Here is a 22,528-nt window from a genome sequence, read left to right on the forward strand (position 1 = left end):
ATTCAGTTACTCATTCATTCATCATATATATTCACTTGCCAAACTCTCCTCTAAGTGAATACTGACTTACTATCTATGCCGGAGTTCCTCAGACAAGAGATCTCAAAGCCTGTCAGACAGCTTTTTTGGTTGTGGTCACCCTACTATCTTCCTCCTGCACTGGGACCCCCATCTGGCTGGAGCTCCTCCTTCCTACTTTGGCTGGCATTCTTACAAGGGAGGGGGATTCCAGAGGGTCAGGGCATCCCAGCCTCCAGGCTAATAAGGGACTTTCCACCCCACTCCCATCCTGCTCCCTCCCTTCCTTCAGGCAAGTCACTGTCAGCAGTTCCCTGGCACCTCCCTTAGACCACCTGCTGGCTCAGTTCACTCCTCCCCAGGGGCTCCTGCTCCAGGAGACTCCTCTCGGGAAGAGCAACCCTAACCAAGAAACGCCCTTCTATTGAAATAGGTCTTATATCTAAAGGGACATTAGGTAGATTTAAGATGAATTTCATTGTAATAATCACATGGCTGAATTTAGACTCCAAATGGCTGTTTTATTTTTTAAAAAAGATCAAAGCTGTAAGATTAAATTATCTGCATAATAAAAACTGAACATGATTCAGTGTAAAGAGAAATTATTACAGAGGAACATAACTCTATAATATAAACTGTATTTTAAAATATACATATTATATTTATAAATTTCACTATTTAAAAAACACCCATTTCTAATTTAGGTCAACTGTACGTAGTTGATATTTCCATCAATATTTTAAGCAAGTTAAGTGATTTTGGTGACCTTAAAGAAATACTAGAAAGTAATCTGCTACTCATTCACTATTTTAAAATTTAAAAAGCATTTCTAAAGCCAAGGTTAGTTTAGAGTCTTTTATTAATCATTTTGTGTAAAACAACAATTACCACAAAAAAGCTAGATTTCTGACATACTTAGAAACTAACTCATGCTGAAATTATATAATCCTTAGGACAAGTTTACAAAGCTATGCAATGACAAAAAACATTAGCTATCCCATCAAGTTAAAGAAACGCCAAGAACGAAACTGATATAATCATTACCATGTTAAAAATTCATGATTTTTTCTCTCTACTTTTCTGTATTTTACAAATTTTTAATGTGAATACTTTAATACAAATTGTTTTAGAAACAACTGACTCATTTCAGACGTAAGAAATAATATATATTTTATATCTCAAGAGTAATGTAGACAGTACCAAGATATTTCTTATGAACAGTTCTCTATCTAGGTAATCTTTGGAAGGAGAGAACATTGCATATACCTCTTCCCTGAAGGCTATGATTCTGTCTCGATCACTGCTGTACCTACTGGAGCACCCCATAATGTGCTTTTTATACAGTGGATGTTCAGTATATACTGGCTAATTTTTAAGCTGTTGATAAGAAGATCTTTAAAACATGCCTTACTTATAATGATCCAGCATCCTTCTTTTGAAAAATTTAAAATCTCATGCTCTTTAAAAAGTGCTTTTTTTTCCCTTTAAGAAATGATGAAATAGAGACAACAGTTAATAATTGGTACAGGTTAGAGCCCTAACATGAAGATGTGGCTCCCCCCTGCCCAATCCTGTGGTCTATGAGAACTGTCCAGAGACCAGCCAATGCTTTTGCCAAGGTAGGAAGACACATAGCATTAGACTGTTCTGATAGTGACTGGCACAGACAGGTCTCTTAGGCTCATAGACTGTTCTCTCCCTGAATGGAAACCAGGATACCGACACCTTACAGACCTCTTTTGAGAAGTGACTGAGGTATGCACAAGAAAGTACCACACACATATTAGTGATTTTTCCTTATTATGACTCTGATTATGAACATGTTAGGGCAAATCAAACAGAACAGTGTTTACTAATGGAAACAAACTACTAAAATGTTATTTGGGTTTTTAAACTAGCTACATGATCTCATTTGACCTCACTGGACATCTATTTCCTCAACTGTAGTAGGAGGGTTAATAGATTCTCTCCAAAATCCTTTCAGTTATAAAATTCTATTATTTAAATTCCTTCATTACTTGAATTTATGAGGTAGAGTGGAAACTGGAGAGAAGGATGGAAGAATTTTTTTTTAAGTTAAACATACATGAATCATGAAAACAGACTTCCCTTAACTAGTGAGTTTTCCTAATACAAAGAACCACCAATTACCCTGAATTCATTCAACATCACTTCCCACACCCACACATTTTTTAAAATAGCAAGACTACAAAATAGTTTGAGTATATTTACAGACACAGTAGTCAGTAACTGGCTTATGAAGCTTTCTATAGAAGAACTTGTCTCCAATATTGTTTGTTTGGATACAAATTGGGTTTGGCATGGGAATTGGGTTGCAAGCAGCAAAATAAAAGAGATTCATATACCTTTACCCATGGCAAACAGTGACACAGCACACCGAAAACAGGGATATGAAATTCTTTACAGCAGGGTGCAGTGGCTCGCACCTATAATCCCAGCACTTTGGGAGGCTGAGGAAAGATTGCTTGAGCCCAGAAGTGAGACCCCATCTTTACAAAAATAAAAATAAAAATATTAGCCTGGCACGGTGGCACATGCCTGTAGCCCCAGATACTCAGGAGGTTGAGGCAAGAGAATCACTTGAACCTGGAAGGTTGAGGCTGCAATGAGCCCTGTTCATGCCACTGAACTCCAGCTTGAGCGACAGAGATAACCTGACTCAAAAAAAGAAAAAAAAAAATCTTAGAGTCCAAGCTTTAAATCAGGTTATCAGACCTTTATGTCACTGCACAGGAGAATGGGCAGCTGATATGGTTTGGCTGTGTACCTACCCAAATCTCACCTTGAATTGTAATAATCAACATGTGTCAAGGGTGGGGCCAGGTGCAGATAACTGAATCACCGAGGTGGTTTCCCGCATCCTGTTCTCCTGGTAGTGAGTAAGTCTCATGAGATCTGGTGGTTTTATAAACAGGAGTTCCTCTGCACAAACTTCTTGCCTGCCACCATGTAAGACATCCCTTGCTCTTTCACCATGACGGTGAGGCCTCCCCAGCCATGTGGAACTGTCAGTCAATTAAACCTCTTTTTTTTTTTAATAAATTGCCCGGTTGCAGGTATGTCTTTATTAGCAGCATGAGAACAGACTAATATAGCAACTTAACTTGAAACAGCTCTCTGCACCTCAAAATCAAAGACACTTTCAGTAGTGTTTTACTGCAAGTTAATGTTTGATTTAAACTGTTGTGGGCTACCCGAACCTCAGTTGCTCACATAAAGATTTTCTAGATTTTCAACAAAATAACTTCAAACTTCTAAAATAAAAATCAAACAAAGAATAGTTATTAAAAGACTCATGTTATGATTGCATTCTACTGTATTCACCTAATTAATATGTACTCACAGCAGGTTTGTGCTAAATTTGAATCACTAGGGATAACTGATGATGAAAATACAGTGTGACTGGCCCTAATTTTATTCATAGAGTTAAGCGTCAAGAGTGGAGGTTTTTAAAAAAAGCTCAGGTCAACCAAACAGGGCAGCCACAGAAGCAACAGCAATGAGCCATCAACTCCTGTTTTGCTCCTCTTGTCTCTGGGGAGGAAAGAGAGTCTGAGAAAGCATGGGATAGTTTCCATTAGCATCTAGGCCCAGGTTCTCTTTCTGCCTAACTCTAGAAAACCTTGGTGTGGTGGCAATCTAGGATAAAAAAATGGGGAGAGGAGTGTAAAAAATAAAAATTTCCATGATTATAGGAAAGGATGGACAAATGGGAAAAACTGATAAATGAAAAAAAATAAGAGAAAAAAGCTCCTTTTCCTGCTTTCTATCCCCCAATTTACTGGTGATTCCTCACATGTTTGAACAGCAGTTATTGCTATGCATTGATCAAGAAAAACATCTTTAGTTTACTTTGTTTCAGATAGGGATCTAACCAAACCTGCTAAGATCATACTTTTCTATTTGACAAATGAACAACTATTTTAAAATAAATTTCTTCAAATCTAGATTTTTACCATTTAGATTAGCTCAATATTTTTGTTTTGTTTTGTTCGAGACGGAATCTCACTCTGGACCAGGCTGGAGTGCAGTGGTGCGATCTTGGCTCACTGCAACCTCTGCCTCACAGGTTCAAGCAATTCTCGTGCCCAGCCTCCTGAGTAGCTGGGACTACAGCCATGCGCCACCATACCCGGCTATTTAAACTGAGTGTTTTTCATAAAAACTAATGAATAATCTACCTTTTCTATAAATAAAAGTCATTACAGATGATTTGAGAAGCATCAAAAAAATCCTAAATTCCCAAAAGAATTCTTATTCTGACGTTAGTTTTACATTCTATGGAACAAAAAATGCCACACTTTCATTTTACCTAAATTATCTATTAAGAGAATTTACATACAAAAGCACTTTATATTAACTTAAAAAATGTAATTGATGAAACCAACTACCCTAATTTAGAGTCTCTGAAACATTAATTTTTAAAAATCACCACATTGGTTAGGATTCTAAGGTATGCAAGTCTTAGTTTTATTCTTATTCTTTTCTTTCTTTCTAATGCTAGTCTTAAAATTGCCTCTGGTATTTTCTAAATGTGCTCAGAAGTCCTAGGGCTCTGGTAGTTTTTTAACTAATAAAATAAACATAGCAATAGAGTACCTGCAGTTCTGCTAACAATATTGTTTATATTATAAGTCCAATCCACAAAGGCTACAGAGAAAAATATCCAGTATAAACAAACATTACTTAGATACCAGTGGCATCTTAAAGCAGCACACCCAAGTCTCAAAATGCAAAAGGGAAAAATTTTCCACTCCCACGATGCCAGGCACAACTCCCTGGTAAAGCACTTGTCAGGTAAAAGATAGTGACATTGCCTCTGTTACTGTGAAGTTGGAGAGGAGGTGTGGGTGTGAAGCACATCAGTAATTCTCTCTCTTCATTTTTTCATCCTCTTTTTTTCCCCTCAATTTATCTCTTCTTTTCCACAATGTCTCTCCTTTCTCCATATTTCCCACTTTGAGCTGCTCTCCCATCCCCAATTCCAACAAAAAAGACAGCTTTGTCCTTTAATTCTGTTGTTTAACATCAATCTCTAAATTTTACACAACACACATTCATAAACACTACTGGATCATATTTTCAAAAGAATATACAAAGGGCAAAGAGGGGGTTGAAATGGGCTGGGGTTAAAGCTAAGAAAAAAATTATCCACTGGTATTTGCAATGCCTAACCTTCTAGCTGAGAGAGAAGTTAAACCCTCCAAAAAAGCAGGAGTCAGCCAAGAAATGAGGAGGAGGTAAGACATAAAGGCTCATGTAGCCCTATGAGAAACACATGAGCCAGTACAGCCACCTCACCAGGCCGGAACAGGCAGCTGAAACCTGAGGAGTGCCTCCTCTAAGTTTGCCCTTTACTTCTAGAGCCCAAAGGCTTAAAATTGAGGAATGAGGACATGTTGCTCTTTAAGACTGATCCCAGCTGAGTCCCTGATCCTTTCCAAGCAGACACATCTTCCCAAACTCTTGCACATACTTCTGTTGCTCCTTAGCACTACTAAGTTTTCCACTCTGCTTACACTTATCACTCTCCCCTTACTTAAGGCGTTACCATTAAATAAAACGTCGTATCTTAGTTTTCTCAATTGTAAAATGAAGATAATTATAACTACAGAGTTAAGGGGATTAAATATTCTAATATTTATAAAGTGTTTAGGACATGAAACATGTCTCAGTGTTTGGGACATGAAAGTATTTGTTTAAACAAAATAAAAATAAAGTAAACCATCTGTGAATACATATACCCAAATTCAAACAACAATAAGTTTTTTCCAATGGCAAAACAGACTTCAAACAGAAAAGAATACTGAGTGTATTGAAGTTGCCACTCTATCATCAATTCTACAGAATTACTAAGGACTGAGAAAGATTCCCTAAGAAACCGGGTTTTATCTTAAACTTCCATATTTAGTCAACTTTGGTCCTGAAACACTAATTATTAAGGAAGAAACACATCTATTTGTTTTCTGAAACCACATTTTATAAAGTGGAAATATGAGTCTACCCTTAGCATGGAACATCCTGTGTCTGACTATTCAGCATTGCAAGTCATTTGCATTCTTTAGGTATTATTTAGATAATATTATTTAAGACATTTCACTGTATATTCTTAAAAAAGAGTTTGAGGAACTCTTTTTTAAGAGTTCAAACTTACTTTCATTTCGAGTCAGGGCTACAATAAAATGAAAAGGACGGCTATGATGAAAACAGAAAAAAAAAAGGGGACAATATTGAATGACAGACAAGAAAATAATGCCAGCTTCGTGACAATGGGGCTATCTACTATGCTTATAATGCGTGAATAAGTAAATGATATAATGGCATCAAAACTTACTATAAACAGAGATCAGAGTGTTCTTGAATATGGGCCTACCTATCTGGGAAGTATAAAATTACCTCATTAAAGTGAAAACTCTGCTTTAAACTTTAATTTCCCTATTTCAAAATTGCTTTTAAGGTAAAAATGTTCTAAAAACATGCCTGGAGTCTCAAGATAAATTACCAGAAATTAACAACTATGTGGTTTTTTATTTTTCTATTAAAATTTAGGAATAAGTTTAACTATTTTTTCCTGGTCATTGAAATATAAATTGAAAAAATTTTAAATTGAAATGTCAACTTATAAACCTGTAACACAGATAACTATATTAAAAATAACTTCTGAAAGACTGATTTCACAAATTTAAGGCCTAGAAAATTTTAAACATGTAAACACCTGTTCTCTAAGTTATAGTAATATAATGTTAAGATTTTTAAAATATATTTGACTTTTTAAAAATATTGTGTTTACAACAAAATTCTACTCATAGCAATTCAAGGAATATAATTAGAGGTTTTATGAAAATAGATAAATCCTTATTTAATAGAAAGTATTAGCATTGATATTTTTAATCTACACAAATGGAATTTAAAAATTTCCAAAAGTTTCTGTTAAAGATATACAGTTTTGAAGTGTTAAGCTTGTCTAAAAGAGTTCTAACTTCTGCAGGAAGAAAAGTGCACTTCATTTAAGCAAGAAATTTCCATTACTTCTAGATTAAGAAGCCACACCTCATACAACTACTGACAGGAAAACATTTTAATTCAAACCTCTACCACTACCCAGCCTGAAGCAAAGTTTAAAAAAAGAAAGAAAGAAAGAAAGACACAAAAATACAAGCACAACTCACATTTTCAAATAAAGGAAACTCTTGCTAAATAAGTAGCAATTATGCTGAAGAATTTATATGCTAAAGCACGAATGAATATAAAAACACCAGAGCAGTCAACCATAGCTTTAGCACTTTGAGTATGATTAACAGAATGAACTTCCAAAGGTCAATTAAATGTCGACACACTTTAAAGAGATATTCTTAAGCCTGGTCAATGTATAACAGCACCTCTTAATTCAGGGGTATCCGTCTTAGTTTAGGCATAACATGCATGGGATAAATGTACATATATATACAGAATTACAACATGTCTCCAACCAGATTACTACAGAAACTCATGTATCACCTACCCTAGAGTTTTGACTATGTTAGTATTTTCCAAGTTATGAAATGATTAAAAGAAAACATAAATATATTACTATGTAACACTATCCAATGAAGATGAAATGCTTGGGACTAAGGTTTATCAAGAAGTTGATCCTATTTATTCAACAATATGAAATCATTCCCAAGGATAATGCTATATTGTCCACAATATGTATTATCCAGATAACTAAGTCACCCCCCATAACCTTCCCTGAATTCTTGTGGTTAAAGAGTTTGGAGAAAAGGAATATGACATTTAAAAATTGCCAAGTTTAGCATCAGAAATTTCTGGGATAGTATAGAACAAGTCCTGAAGGCACTAAGTGCCCATTACTGACATTTCCATCCAAGAACTCAGTAAGATCTTCAATCCCATCCCACGTGAACTAGGCCAAGTTGTCCAAGAACCTCAGAATAAGCAAAGACCACCAAGATTATCTGACCCAATTGTCTCCACTTAACAGATCAGCAAATATAGATCCAGAGAGGTAAAGTAACCTGGTTTGGCTCACACAGCTCCTTAGCAGCTGTCTTAAAACTCAGTCCAGTGCTTTCTTCTCTACATGAAGTCCATCATGTACTTTTTTTTCCCATTAGGACTTTAAGACCAGGACATAATTGTCCAAATAACGGGGGCTACCATCAGAATTCAGAGAAAGCTGGGATTTTTAAGAAGCTAATGATCTGGGAAGGCTCCAAGGAGAAGCTGGAAATTGAAGAATGAGTAGAATCTGGGTGGTCTGAGAGGAGGCATCACTAATGAGGGAAGCAATATGGGCTCAAGCATAGTGTTGAGCCTGCCATATTCCTGAACTACAGAGACAATGTTTAGAGGAAAATGGGGTTTTAAGGCCACCTTATAAGCCAGGCAAAAAAGGTTCAATATGATGAGAGAACAAATAGAAAGTTATTAGGGGACTTTTATTTTAGAAACCTGATGTGATGAACGCAGAGACTAGTCTAGCAAAAGGTGTGCAAGAATGGAAGTGGGAAGAGAGAAAGACTTGAGGTGCTTCATAGGGGTCTGTTTAATAATATTAATATCTTATAGGGTTTTTGTGAGGAACAAGTGAGCTGATAGGAGAGAAAGTATTTGTCAAGAATAAATGCCCCAGAAAGTAAAATTATATTAAAATTCTGGGGGTAGGGGCCTCTCTGACCGTATCTCCATTGTTTTGGTGACACACACTTCTCTATAAAAGCAAATCTGGAGAGGAACTGTGGATCTATTCCTATAAGATCAAAGAAATCTCTTCCCTTCAATATTTGCAAAAGCTAGATCCCAAGGGAGAGAGACAGCTGCCATCCTTAAGCCCCTGCAAGGCTATAGATCAGTAATGCTAAAATCCAAAACTAGGATTCTGTCTTTGAGGCAGACCACATAATCAGTGTGTCTCAAAGTGAGTCAAGAAAGTATATAATTAAGTGCTAAATAAGGTAGTACAAGTAAGGAGGAGAGTAGAAGAGACAGCACCTGAGCCAAGGAGGTACATGATCAAAGTTATTACCTGGCACTGCAGCACTGCAGTCCACATCCTTCTCCTATCCCTTTCCCTCTGCTCAACAACTACTACTTCCATTGTGTCCAGAGGTACTTATCCCCTCCTGTGTTGTGTTGTCTTCCTCTCTTTTCCTTCTTCTACAGCAACTCTCCAGGACTAAAAAGGAAATTTGAAAAAGTTATTATAATAAATTAAAAGCTACATATATTAAATATATACCGTGTGATTTATTAGCTGATGTTTTAATTTATAATCTTACATAATTTACAAAACAACTCCTATGAGGCAGTACTATTATCCTCATTTTTCAAGTAAGGAAACAAACTTAGAGTCAAGGATGTAGGTTGAAGCCACCCAAGCAGTAAATGGCAAAACTAGGATTGCAATCAGGACTGGTTGACTCCTCAACCTATGCTTTGAACCTCTCTTCTAAACAATCACTGCCCCCCGACCTTTTTTTAACTGATAAGCTTGAAAATTCTCACATGTTGGGCATTTATAGATAGAGATTATAGGAGCCATTATATGAGTTTGTAGATTAAAGTTTTGACAACCAAGAACAGAGGTGCCTGGGCTTAGCCACACTTGCTTGCCAAATTATCTGCTTTAGGACTAAAGTTTTTGAAATCTGAGGCTTGAAGGATGTTGAAGGGACAGCCCTCCATCCACCATTCTTGTCTGTTCTCTCTCAGGTCATCCGTCCCTTAGGGTCCATTTCCAATCATTTGCTTGAAACGGTATATCCCTAGTTGAACAGAACGCTGGGACTGCCACTCCCACAAATCACCAACAGGTTAAGGAGGATGGTGGGAGTATCCCACTAGTAGGAGGGGTCTGTGAACTGTGGTCTCTTGAGCCTTGTGTCCCAAAGCAGCCTTAACTCTGCTTGTAGGTGGTATATTCTATGTTGATTTACCTGCAGAGGTGGTTTCATGAAGGGTTCCCTGGCCACATGGCCCAACTAAGAGATGATGCCAACATGTCTGGTGCTGTAGGGGAAATGATCAGAGCAGTGAGCATCTGGGGAGATTTTAATGTTCCTGGAAGAAAGCAACATGAGCATTACAACTGTGGCAAGAAAACTCTAACACTAATTCTTAAAATTTAGTGTAATTAACTCTCACTTCTGAAGGAGTTCATTAACCCATTTATGCCAGAGGTTGCACATTTTTTTGCGAAAAATCAGACCTTGGCAATGACCTCGAGCCGTAGGATATAAATAACTCCCACAAGCTCAGCATTCCAATAATGGAACACTAGGCATAAATGGGTTTTATGAACAGAAATTCTAGGTTCTGTTCACAGACATTCTGATTATGTAAATGTGGGATGTGCCCAGGATTTTGAAGTTTTGTAAGCACTACAGGTGATTCTGACACAGGTGATCTAAGGACTACACTCTGAGATAAACTGCTGTGATCTCTTACAAGATAGCCCAGCCAGCAAATCTGCACAGAGGAGAACCCATATTCTACAAAAATAGCCTGTTCAAATATCAATGCTAAGTTCTAGGTTGAGTGGTTACTTTGAAATAAGGCCACTAGGCTTTCCAGAAGTTGCCAGGTTTACAAATGGTGAAGTGGTGGGGGGGCGTTAGTATTTTCCTGATGTCACCAAATAGACCCTCAGAGGAATAAGGGCATCTCTCACTGCAGTCCACATTCCACATTATACCTCTTCTACACAAAGTGATTGTCTAGAGTGAAGACCTTCTTGGCAAGATGCTACTTCCAGTGCTTAATTTACATTTGGTGATACACTGACAATAATTTTTCCTCACTGTGGATTTTGATTTCAAAAGGTATACTTTCCTTCATGTAACTAAATTGGTTTATTTCAAGCTATTTTAAAAATGAATTTAAAAACAGCATTCAAGTGAGATATTATGGTTACGATTAGGCCATTTAATTAGACATCCAATCACAATGCAAACAGCTACTGATTATTTAAGAAATATACCTTTACAAACGTTCGTGTTCTTCAAACAAAACTAGGTCATAAAATGTACTACGTTAAATCAATACTGCTATCTTTCTCCTAGAAACCCTATCACTTGTCTTTGTCTCTTTTCAAATGCGTATACCTGTTTTAAAGCATAAACATTTAGGCTAGATACTGGAACTAAGCTCTGTTTTTCTGCCAGTTCTTTCTTTGATACTTTCATTCTCTCCACTAAAGCATGATCATCATTCTCTTTAAGGATGAACAAGATGGACTTTTAATTATTGTCATCTGAGTATTTTATTCAGCAAATATTGGTTGAGTATCTATACTTATGCACTTACTTTTGTAAAACACTTTTGTTGCTATAAGCTCCATGAAGAGAAAATGCCCAGTGGAGTACCTGAAATCTAGAATTCACTCTCATGAAATGGTGAGAAAACTGAAAGACTTTGTCATTTACAGAACAAAATAATTTCTCCTGTATACACTACTGACAAAGTACACATGCATTATTTAAGAGAATTTTGGTTATGAAAAATGTGTGATTTTACTGTTTAGAGAAAAAAATGCAGGTTATCATGATAACCAAAAGTTTACACACCATTGTCTTGCAATACAATCTGTGACGACAATATTTCAATACCATTGCCGGACTAAACCTTTAACATTAATTATTTATCAAAATTATACATGCCACTAACACATCTCAACAAAGAAGATTATGTAAGTGAGCTGCCTTGGCGTCAGTAATACTGAACACAGTAGCTATTTTCAATCCTTCATTAAAATTAGATCAAGATGTACTTGCATTATGTGTTGCTGTTCCTGTAAGGAAGACTTACATTAGTTTTAAGATTTACTTTGGGTATAAGTGACATTTTCCTCTCTTTTTTGACATTTCTTTTTCTTCTTTGTCCCCTCCTCCACTGCCCGCACCCCCCCAACCAAAAAAAGTTTTCAGTATAATACAGAAAACAAAAACACAAACACCTGCCCTGTTCACTCTCTCTTATGCATAATAAATGCTTTGTTCTCCCCCTCAACTGGATCCGGCAGGGATCGCCCGGGGGCACCTGCCACTTCACCCTCAGACTTGGCTCTCTGTCCCCACCCTGGCCCCTAGGATTCCAAATGGTGCAGCAAAATACGACAATCCTAAGGTTCGTAAAATAAGCAATGGATAGTGAAGGAAAGCCTTTAAATGTTAGTGTTTTAAAACATCAGACTTAAAAGTTACTTCTGAGTAGGCTGAAAGGTGAATCCAGGCGCATGTAAACATATCCTGGCCTATCGCTTGATAACTCGCGCACCGTGTTGAGGCCCTAGGAAAATCTCAAAAACGGAGATGTAGTCTAAAAACTGGACGACAGCATAGACCACGTTGCTGTGGCCCCACATATTACCCACGAGAAAAATCTAAGTGGTAAAGTCACTGGTCCAAGGTCAAGCTGAGCCAGTCGCAGGCAGGGCTAGTCCGCGACCTTCTAACCTTTCCATCTCCCACCCAGCCGCGCACAGGCCCTTGGTCGCGCCGGCACCCGAAGAGTTCCCACGGATACGGTTCCCAAGTCAGTGGCATGTCAGTGCCCTTCAAGCTACCGCAATTTTATTTGTTCTCCCCGCCAGCTCCATAAAGTATTAAAGGCTCTCTCCACGACTTCTTCCCAAGCCCAGGTGCCCTAAACCACTTGAGCCCACGGCGCCTAAAGCCGACTCACCCGCAGCCCGAGGTGCGGGAGCCCTCGGACGGACTCCGGCCCGCCCCGCAGTCCCCACCGGCCGCGCTGCGGCCCCGGCTGACGACGAGTCGAGAAAGTCACCCGCGATGACCGCGGACGCGAGGGGCGGGCCGCGTCGCGCCGCCCCGCGGAGGCGCCGCAAACTTTTCCCGGTTCGCAAGTTGCCGGGATCTGCGGCCGCGGACCGACTTCCTTCGCCGGCCACCGGAGGGAGGGGGCGCCCCTACCCCGGGAGGGGGCTGGGCGAGCCGGGAGACGGTCAAGTTGGGGTCGGGGGAGCGCGGGCGCTCCGCACTCTGGGGCACGCGGGGACGAGCCCGGCCGCATTGTCTGCGCGGCCTCGGAACAAGCACGGCCGGCGGTGGCACCGGCGGGCGCGGGGAGGAGTTGCCGTCCCCTTTCGCCGCCGCCGCCCACCGCGTTCTTTGTGTGTCTCTCGCCGCCCTCCAGCCGCTTCGCCGCTCGCCTGACAGCTGATGGGCTCACCGCGCCGGGTCCCGCGTCCTCTCGGCCGCAGCCGGCGGAGCCCGGCCCGGCAGGAGGAGGAGGGGAGAAGAGGAGCGTTGACAGATGCTGTCTTGGAGCGGGCACCGCCGGGGGAAAAGTCTGGACTGCCTCGGCGAGAAGCGGCCGGTAGGCAACCGGCCCCAGCCTCGCATTCGCCTCAAAGACCCCAATTGGCTAGGAGCCCTTCCCTCCGCAGCGGCTCGCGCAGCTCCGCTCTTGCGCCCCGCGCCCGGCTCAGCGGACGGACTAGCGCGCCCGGTCAAGAATCCTGGGGAACCCGCTCCGCCCCCTGGCTCCAGCGCCCTCCAATGATGTCGGCGTACAGAGGGCTGTTCCGCCCAATCAGGTGTCGGAAAGCCCAGCCAGTCCCCGGGAGTGTAGCCAATAGAAGGCGACTCCGGCAACACACCCGCCCTGATCCACTAGGAACAAACCGCTCCGAGCCCGGGTGGTGGGACCGATCCTGGAGCCCAGATCAAGCCAAGTCCGGCCAAAGCTGTGTCGCAAAGTAAGAATCTGAAGACAGGTCCGGTGCTTAAATGACTATTATTCTAAAGAGTTGAAGATGGGAACGGTGGACGCACAAAATCTTTACCCTCGGCTTAAAACGCCTTTTCTGGCAAAAGTTTGTGTATGAAAGAAAGCTGAACAAACACGTTGTAGCACTGTTTAAGTGAAGGCCTTTCCTTTTAGAACACTGCTTTACAATGCCTAATCAGCCGGCGCTCAGGTTGGTGCATTCAGAGACCCGAGCGTTTGTGTTCCTAATAAGTTTGCTAGAATGTCAGGTAACTGAAGCAGGTTAGTTTCTATCCTGCCCCAAAACACAGACTGTCACTGGCACCACCATGTTGTGGTTTTTTCCATGAATGAAAATATAAGAGTTCTGTATGTAAATCATCTTTATTGTGAACTTTATTTCTATAATAAAGTCACACAAACTATCTTTAGTGGAAGTTGGATGAAATACCGGAAAAGAAGAATGTAGAGATAGATGATAGATATGTAGGATATCTCTATCCATCTGCCACCCATCTATCTATCAAGAAAGGACTTGAGTAAAGCACTGGCTATAAACGACTGTACCTTTTGATCACAGGACCTTACAAATAATAGGCACACTAGTTATTTGTTTATTTGATTTGAATAGGATGACTCATTTGTTACTGTTCATATGAAGTTTATAAACTTCATTGAGTTGTTTACTGAAAGTGGACTACACCATGACGAAAACAGTATTTGGCAACACATATTTGCATCTTTTAAAATAAAATTACACTTATTTGTACTTCAAATAGTTACGTCAGTTTATTTCTTCGGGTAATAAACTGTGCATTTAAAAATTTTTGTACACATGTGGCATGTTCCTTCTTTATAAATTATTTTGATGACCAAATACATTTTTTAAAGGGTGATCTGTACAATGAACGGAAAGAAGAGAGAGATCTCAAACAAGAAAAATATGGCTATATTACCTCCTTGCTTTCGTGATTGAAACTCACCATGACTTACCACATTAAGTTCGGGGGATAACATGACCCCTGAAATAAAGTTTTATCAACAGATCCAGGTTCTGGATTGACCTTGAGCCAATCTCTTAATGACTAACTCTGTTACAAGAGAACAATACGCCTGGCTCTACCTGCCTCCTTGGGGTGCTGTAAGATCCCTCCAAGATAGTGTTTGTCAAGCACTTTGCTTTCTGTAAAATACTGTGCCAAGTGCAGAACAGTCTTAAATGTGTTATTATTCTCTGTTTATTATCAGAACATTAATATTTCCTCGACTGCACATTTTTTCAACTGAAGTATATTTTTGAGCCCATCAGTTTTCTCTCAAAATAGATCTGAATGAAACTCCTGCCTGTTCATTCTAGATCAAAGCAGTACTTTCAGGGTTTCTTTCTCTTTTTTAATGAAGAGGATGTTAGAAGAGAAGAATACTGAGGAAAGAATTCTGGATGGAAAACGTTCGAGAAATTTTATTCACTCTTAGTGTATTCCTCTTAGTATATTCCTCAAAAACAAGATGTATCATAATGTCCAGTTTAATACTCTGTTCATAATGTTTAAAAACTTAAGCAAGTTTCAATGTATATGCTTAAAATAAGTTAACGTATCCCATGTCTGCTAATATAGTTTTAGATGGAAGTTGTAAATGGCTGGGTCAAAGTTATACCCATAAATCAATTACTGAATTTTAAATTTTGGGGGCATTTATTGAAGATTCACTTATCACTTTTGTACTTGTCAAAGAGGAAAATAAATGTGTATTTTTAGATTCCATGTGTCATAATATGTTTACTTTTTCCCAGAATATGGAGTCTAGTACAGAAGTTTAATTACTACTTCAAACAAATGTACATATGGTAACACTAGAATGTAAAATTTGCTGAATTTAGTTGAACCAGCAGTTGTAATTTTCAGTTAATTAACTGTATGTATTTCATTTTCTGAGTGAAAATTGTGGAAGAATTTATCAATATGAATATGCATGATTTACTAAGTATAGTTAAGTCAAAACCAGTGTGTGGTAATTTCCTGATAATCGACAAGTCCATACCCATTTATTACATGGAAATGAATATTTCAGTGATTGTCTGGGTAATATTTGTGATTTCACTGTGGTGATGTTTCATTCACTAACTGATATTTTCAGTTTTTCATCAGCGATTTTCTCATCAGTTGTCCAAAATGGAACAAAAGAGCTGAAGCTATTTTAGAGAGCTGTCAGTTTTAGCACATTTTTAAATGTTTATGAGAGAAATTGACTTTGGGGTCGGTTTTAGGATTTATAAAGATGGTTTTAAAAAAATACATAGACATAGACATTGGTAAAGGTAATTAAAAAAATACATATACATCTTTTATAAGTTGCCTCACATGATCTGTGGTAATATGACTATAATATTATTTTCTCTGTATCTTTACATTTAATTTGCTATCATCTTAAGATTGCTTCATCAGTGAATATAACGAATAACTGGATTTATATCTTCTTGATTCTGATAGTTGAAATGCTTCGGAATGTCTTGTCTTGGACAAATCAGAGTTCCACGTGACTTCTCAACAAATAACCGAGTCTAATTCATTAATCTGAAAATGATGTTCTTAGGAATAATTAAATAATATCTATATAGAGAGAAGAGAAAAACGATTAGCTCTGTTTTTCTTTCTATTTCTTACATGGATGAGAGAAAAATGCCTTTGTGAATCACAACATCAGATCCCTTTAACTCTCCTTTTACAAAACTTATGTTTTGTTGATTTCTTGAACCCAACCATGTAGTTTCCTTATTGTGTGATGTATCTATGGCAGGAAACTTTTATATGCATATGGAGTAACAGAGAGAAAATTTCAGAAAACATTGGTGAGAGGCACATTAGACTCCCTTCTCCATTTTATCTTGGGTCACAGTCCCTCAGGAAAATTTCTTTTAGAGTTAAGTGTTAGGAAAAATTTTATTTTTTCTGAAATGAGATTTTTGCAGCTTCTCCTTCTTATTTCAACAACCAGGAAGCTTGGAACTAAATTTACAGCTTAATTTAGCAAGGTACGGCCTGCTTCACTGTAACTTTTTTCTTTTTTTAAATTTTAAATTTTTGTAAGTACATAGTAAGTGTATGTATTTGTGAGGTACGTGAGATATTTTGATGCAGGCATATATGTGTAATAATTCCATCAGAGTAAATGGAGTATCTACCACCTCAAGCATTAATCCTTTCTTTTGTGTTACAATCCAATTATACTCTTTAAGTTCTTTTAAAATGTACAATAAATTTTTGTTAACTTTAGTCACTCTGTTGTGCTATCAAATACTAGATTCACTCTAATTTTTAATAAACATAAGCTTTACCTTGCCATGGTTTATTACTATTCATATATGCATTATTAGCTTATATATTTGTATGTATGCATTTTATTGAAGCTCTGTAAAATACTTTCTGAAATGAGATGAAATATATATAACTAACATTCTGAGCCTCACATAAACTCTTGAGTATGAAGAGTTAAACACAACCAGAACGTGTAGAGAGAGCAATATGAAGGATACTGCTGATATTTCCTTCACAGAGAAATAGGATTCTAATTCACCAGGTATAATATCTCTAAACCTTTTCCAGAGAAGCAAGAAGAAAAATAGATGTACTTGACTGGGAAATTTTATTACATTTATTTATTTTTTTCTTTTATTTCCTTTTTGTTGTTGTTGTTGTTGTTGTTGTTGTTTGAGTCAGGTTCTCATTGTGTTGCCCAGGCTATAGAGCAGTGGCATGATCATAGCTCACGGCAACCTCAAACTCCTGGGCTCAAGCGATTCTCCTGCCTCAGTCTCCCTAGTAGCTGGGACTACAGATGCACTCCACCATGTCCTGCTTATTTTAATTTAATTTGTAGAGATGGGAGCCTTGCTATGTTGTCCAGGGTGGTCTCGAACTCCTGGCCTCAAATAATCCTCCCACCTTGGTCTCCCAATGAGCTGGGACTACAGGTGTGGGCCACCGTGCTTGGCCCAACATTTACTTTTCAAAGTTAAAGTTATTTTTAAAAGTCATCTCCTGAGTGACATATTGTCTTAGCACTGTTGCAGAACTTCATCTTATCCAACTTTTTTGTTTCATAAGATATATTTGAATTAACTAGAAGTTGTAGGTTAAAAATATCCTTTTAAAATAGAATGGTTTACACAAAGTAGATGGTAGCATCCCTCTTCCAAGCCAGAAGGTCAGCATGTAGGAGACCCTCAGTGGAGTTAGGAGGGTTTCAGTCATAAGGGATAGAAAACTCAACTCAACTTGACTTAAATATAAAAACAAATACACATTAGTGCATATAATTAAAACTATACAACCTTGATCAAGTAAAAGTAAAGGTACAGCTAGCTGACAAAGGTGGGAGAGGAAAGAAGGGGGCCAAAGAAGAAAGCTGGGTAGGGGCATCACGCCACATAGAGGGGTGCCAAATAACTGTATTGGACAAAACATGGTTTTATCCAACTTTATTAGATAACATTTATTGGACAAGAAACAGAAATTTAAGTGGCTACTTCTACATTACAACCAACAAAACTGAAAATGATAATGTAAGTATCAAAATTGGAGAAGTGTTGAAAGAAGGACTAATGTAAGACCTCATTTTACATAGGTCATTTTATATAGCTGAGGGTCAGGTAGATAAGTAAATAATAAATAACAAATATAGAAATATACTAGTTATTTCATTATTTAAAGTTCATGTTTTGTTCAAACAAAAAGTTTACGGTTTAGTTTTCTACAGGCAGAAACTAAAAGCAGAAATGGTTAAAAGGGTTTTCCTTTGGAGGAGGGGTTGTTGTAATTACATGTGAGGAGGGTTGTGGTCTTATTTGATTTTTTTTTAACCAACTGTGAAGACGGTTTTGATGAAAATTGTCAATATTACAGAAAAAAGTCTTAGCAGGAATGTATTTAAAAATAAATGTAGGGTATCCATATATATTGGGAAACCACAGTTGTATTTAGTGTAGAATAAAATGGAATTTAGGACCCAAGTAAGAATGTATATGATGGTTTTAAAAAAGCAAACATAATGGATATATAGTGAAATTATTTTGTGCTCTTCACAAGCAATTCATAATACAGTAGATTATCTTATTTCTGTGCTCGAGAACAACTGTGCCTCCTCTGGATCCCAGAGATTATAGGGCAGATTGGGCATGGGACAGTGCTTGTTAAATGCCTGTTTGTTTTTTGATGAAGTGATTGTATCATTTGAAACTGTTTGACTCAGCACACAGGAAAACTCAATAGAAAATGTGTGCAATTGTGAGCTTCATAGTTTGAGAAATGAATGAAAATTATGGAGAAGATTCCATGGAAAGTTACAAAAGTAATTAGAAATCTGGAACACAGCCGGCTTGGAAGAATGAACATTTTTGAGCTTTGGGGGCTCCAAATTTTCAGATATAATTCATTGTTAATTTTCTGTGCAAGTGAAGGAGAATAGTGAGCCCACTGTGAAATGCTCCACGGGGGTCTATTAGAATGTTTCATCTTGGATAAGAGGGAAATCAACCCACAGGACTGGCATACTACATTGTGAGAATTCATAGACAATGAAGAATATCATTACCAGAAGCCATGGAGGAAGAAAAGGTGTGTGGGTGTGAGGGGGTGTGTGTGTGTGTCTGTGTGTAGGAGACCAGGCTGAATAAATGTTTCGATCACTGACAGTTGATAATAAACAAAATGAATCTAAAAGGCAAGTCCAGAATAAGTAAAGAAGCATGACAGAACTGAAAATCTACTGTCAGAGTGTAATGCTTAGTCCTAATTTGGAGATGATATCGTGGAAACTACCTGAACTCAAACCAAACCGTCCTCATGTAGATGGCATCTTCCCAAGGTTGTCTGAAAATAAACACAGCAATAATAAACATGTATTTTTCATCCATGTTTTTTCACTAGGAGAGCACCTTCGCATATGTAACATCGTTAGATCCTCATAACTTTTCCTCAAGATGATGAGGAGGCATCTCAGTATAGTATTTCAGTTCAAAGACACATTTGAATTCTGCTACATCAGTGGGACTCAACCAAGCCATTAATTCCCCTGGGTCTTTAAATAAGGATAACAATTATAGGTGTTGAATCTCTCTCTCTCTCTCTGCATGTTCTGAGGATGGAAACAGCTCATTTGTGTGAATATGCTTTGCAGACCCTTATGTGGGTCGCCAATGTTCTTATTAGCATGGGTTCTATTCCCATTTTATAGATAATGAAAAGGAGATTCAGAGATCAAGAGATAAATAACCCAGTTAGATACGGTGAGTCCATGGCCCCAGATCCCCAGGTCTAATTACTCCCAATGCTCATTCCACTACTTTGATCTGAACTTTAAAGTGTGATCAGTAAATACAAAATTAGAATTGTCTGGTGGTTTCCTCAATTTCTTTTTTGGATTGAAGAGTTAGACTAGTTGATTACCAGGGTCCTTTCAGCTGTAAATCTTACAATAGTCAAGAACTTGCTTTCCCAACTTGCTCTGGGGTCTCTATTCCCCTCCAGGGGAGGAAGATAATCAAACAATGGTTAAAGAGTTCTGTTTAGAAAACAGAGAGAAATTTTCCTGGCTCCTGAGGGAAGAGATGAGGTAGAGAACCAAGAAGATGATGTGAGGCTGGCAACTATAAAGAATGAAATAATTCATAAAGATTCCCTGAATGTGAGGATAGAAGAGACATAGAGAGAGGATTTCCAAGGTGCAAGTGCAAATTTCCAATAAAGTCTTCTAAACACGTAAATGGTCTTGTCTGTGGTTTTTGTAGTGGGGAGGTGTGGATGCTTATTTCTTTGTTTGGGTTTGTTTCAATGGAATCAAGTAGAGTAAACGAAAATAAAAGGTGAATATGAAAACATAAGCCTCTCCCTTACTTCCCCTGGAAAAAAGAAAAAAAATTCCTTCTCAGAAAAATTATCAGGTCTTTGGACCTGTATCTAGATGACATAGCATAGAATAAAAACAAGGAGCAAAAAAAAAAAAAAAAACTTAATTATATTTAAGCCTGTGAGAGAAACAGAAAGACAAATTCAATATGTTGAGATTACTGCTGAAAAGTAGAATGACGTATAAAGAAGCCAACATCGTGTGCTCACTGCTGTAAAAGCTAGTTGTTTGATAAAGTTAAGTATATCTGTCATTGTAAATTTTGCCCTTAATGTATCATCCCACAAACATTATGTTTAATTCATATAGGGCAGTGCGATAAATTGTGATTTGTTAAGGATATATCCTATATATTTATATAAGTAGAATAAAATCTTGAAAGATCAAGACCTAGGTGTTAATCTATGCACTTTTCTGTATTTTTTAATTGTTTCCAATAAATTCGTTATAATTAATATCCTGTTAAAATCCCTTTAAAAGGTATATAATTAATAAATCCTCACTTCTCCATTGCTACCTTAGGTATTATATAGTATATAAATAAAAAAGAAATGGCTTATATTATCTATTTTATATTGAAAATCTCTCTATTTGGACTTTTGAATGAAAAGTTTGAATATTCATTGTGATAAAATAATTTAAATTATTTTCATGACAAAGTGAGAACAAGGAATTAATGTAAAAAGACAAAATGAAATTTTAGTGTAACACCTCTAACATCTAATAGTTTTTTGGTCAACTGTTTATTTTTCTTTGAAGGATATGTAAAATCTTATCCTTAAAATATTGAAGGACTAGTAAATAATATAATAACAAGTAGTCCCAACTTTTGAAAGACAGGAATTTTCACTTTTCTTTCTTTTTTTTTTTTTCTGAGACGGAGTCTTGCTCAGCTGTGCAGGCTGTAGTGCAGTGGCGTGATCTCGGCTCACTGCAACCACCATCTCCTGGGTTCAAGTGATTCTCTGGTCTCAGCTTCTCAAGTAGCTGGGATTACAGGCACCTGCCATCGTGCCCAGCTAATTTTTATATTTTTCATAGAGATGGGGTTTCACCGTCTTGGCCAGGCTGATCTTGAACTGCTGACCTCAGATGATCCGCCCACCTCGGCCTCCCAAAGTGCTGGGATTACAGGCATGAGCGACTGCACCTGGCCGAATTTTCACTTTTGAGGACTTTAGAGTAAGTAAAGAAGATAAGTGATATACATATGGCACTCGCTGAGTGGTGTAATTTAGAACAAAGTTCTCAACCAGGAAGATTTTGCCCCCAGGGAACACTCGCTAATGTCTGGAGGACATTTATGGTTGTGACCTTCCCCTGAGGGAAGGAGGGTGCTACTGGCATCTGGTGGGTAGAGACCAGAGATGCTGCTGTACATCCTACAATGCACTGGACAGCCCTCCAGTGCAAAGAATTATCCACTCTAAAATATTAATAGGACACAGGTGGAGAAACCTTGCTTTAGATGCTTATTGCTTTTATGGAGAAATGAAATAGTACCAGCAACTTCAAAACTTAAAAAAAAAAAAAAGAAAACAACCCTTATTTATATGCTTTCTTTTAAGCAATGGAAAATGGAAATTTTATTTCCCTCTCCTGAAAGTAGAACTATTTCTAGCATATGCTTTGTAAATAAGATAATATTTAAAAATTAAAAGTGGTTCACAGTGTTTGAGAAAACAAAAATGGAACAGTAAGACTCGGAAAATAAATGTGCTTCTTCAAGTTAGCTAAGACTGGCTTTTTTTTTTTTAAGAAAAAATTCCTCAAAAGAATATTTTAGCTAGTTATTTGAAACTGTTGGGAATGTGAATCCAATGATCTGTCAAGAACATATATTAATAGTGGCTGC

General features: G+C 37.9%; 2 long non-coding RNA genes across 5 annotated transcripts in view; one reads left to right on the forward strand and one right to left on the reverse strand.

Moving 5' to 3' along the window:
• Positions 1–518: 518 nt before the first annotated feature.
• On the reverse strand, positions 519–13,400 carry LINC00472 (long intergenic non-protein coding RNA 472). Of its 4 annotated transcripts, none has more exons than NR_026807.2 (4): positions 12,721–13,400; positions 11,344–11,409; positions 9,975–10,047; positions 519–9,214 (listed from the first exon to the last, which is right to left on the reverse strand). It is a non-coding gene; the product is annotated as a long intergenic non-protein coding RNA 472 (long non-coding RNA). The 4 variants fall into 4 exon arrangements; NR_121612.1 differs by having other exon boundaries at positions 9,975–10,098; NR_121614.1 differs by lacking the exon at positions 11,344–11,409.
• A 281-nt stretch (positions 13,401–13,681) lies between these two features.
• The window catches only part of LINC01626 (long intergenic non-protein coding RNA 1626), a 37,846-nt gene continuing 28,999 nt past the window's right edge, over positions 13,682–22,528 (forward strand). The window contains exon 1 of the long non-coding RNA NR_121615.1: positions 13,682–13,756. This is a non-coding gene — a long non-coding RNA (long intergenic non-protein coding RNA 1626). The remainder of the gene's footprint in view (positions 13,757–22,528) is intronic.

The sequence above is a fragment of the Homo sapiens genome, chromosome 6, assembly GCF_000001405.40.
Source record: "Homo sapiens chromosome 6, GRCh38.p14 Primary Assembly".
Lineage (NCBI taxonomy): Eukaryota > Metazoa > Chordata > Mammalia > Primates > Hominidae > Homo > Homo sapiens.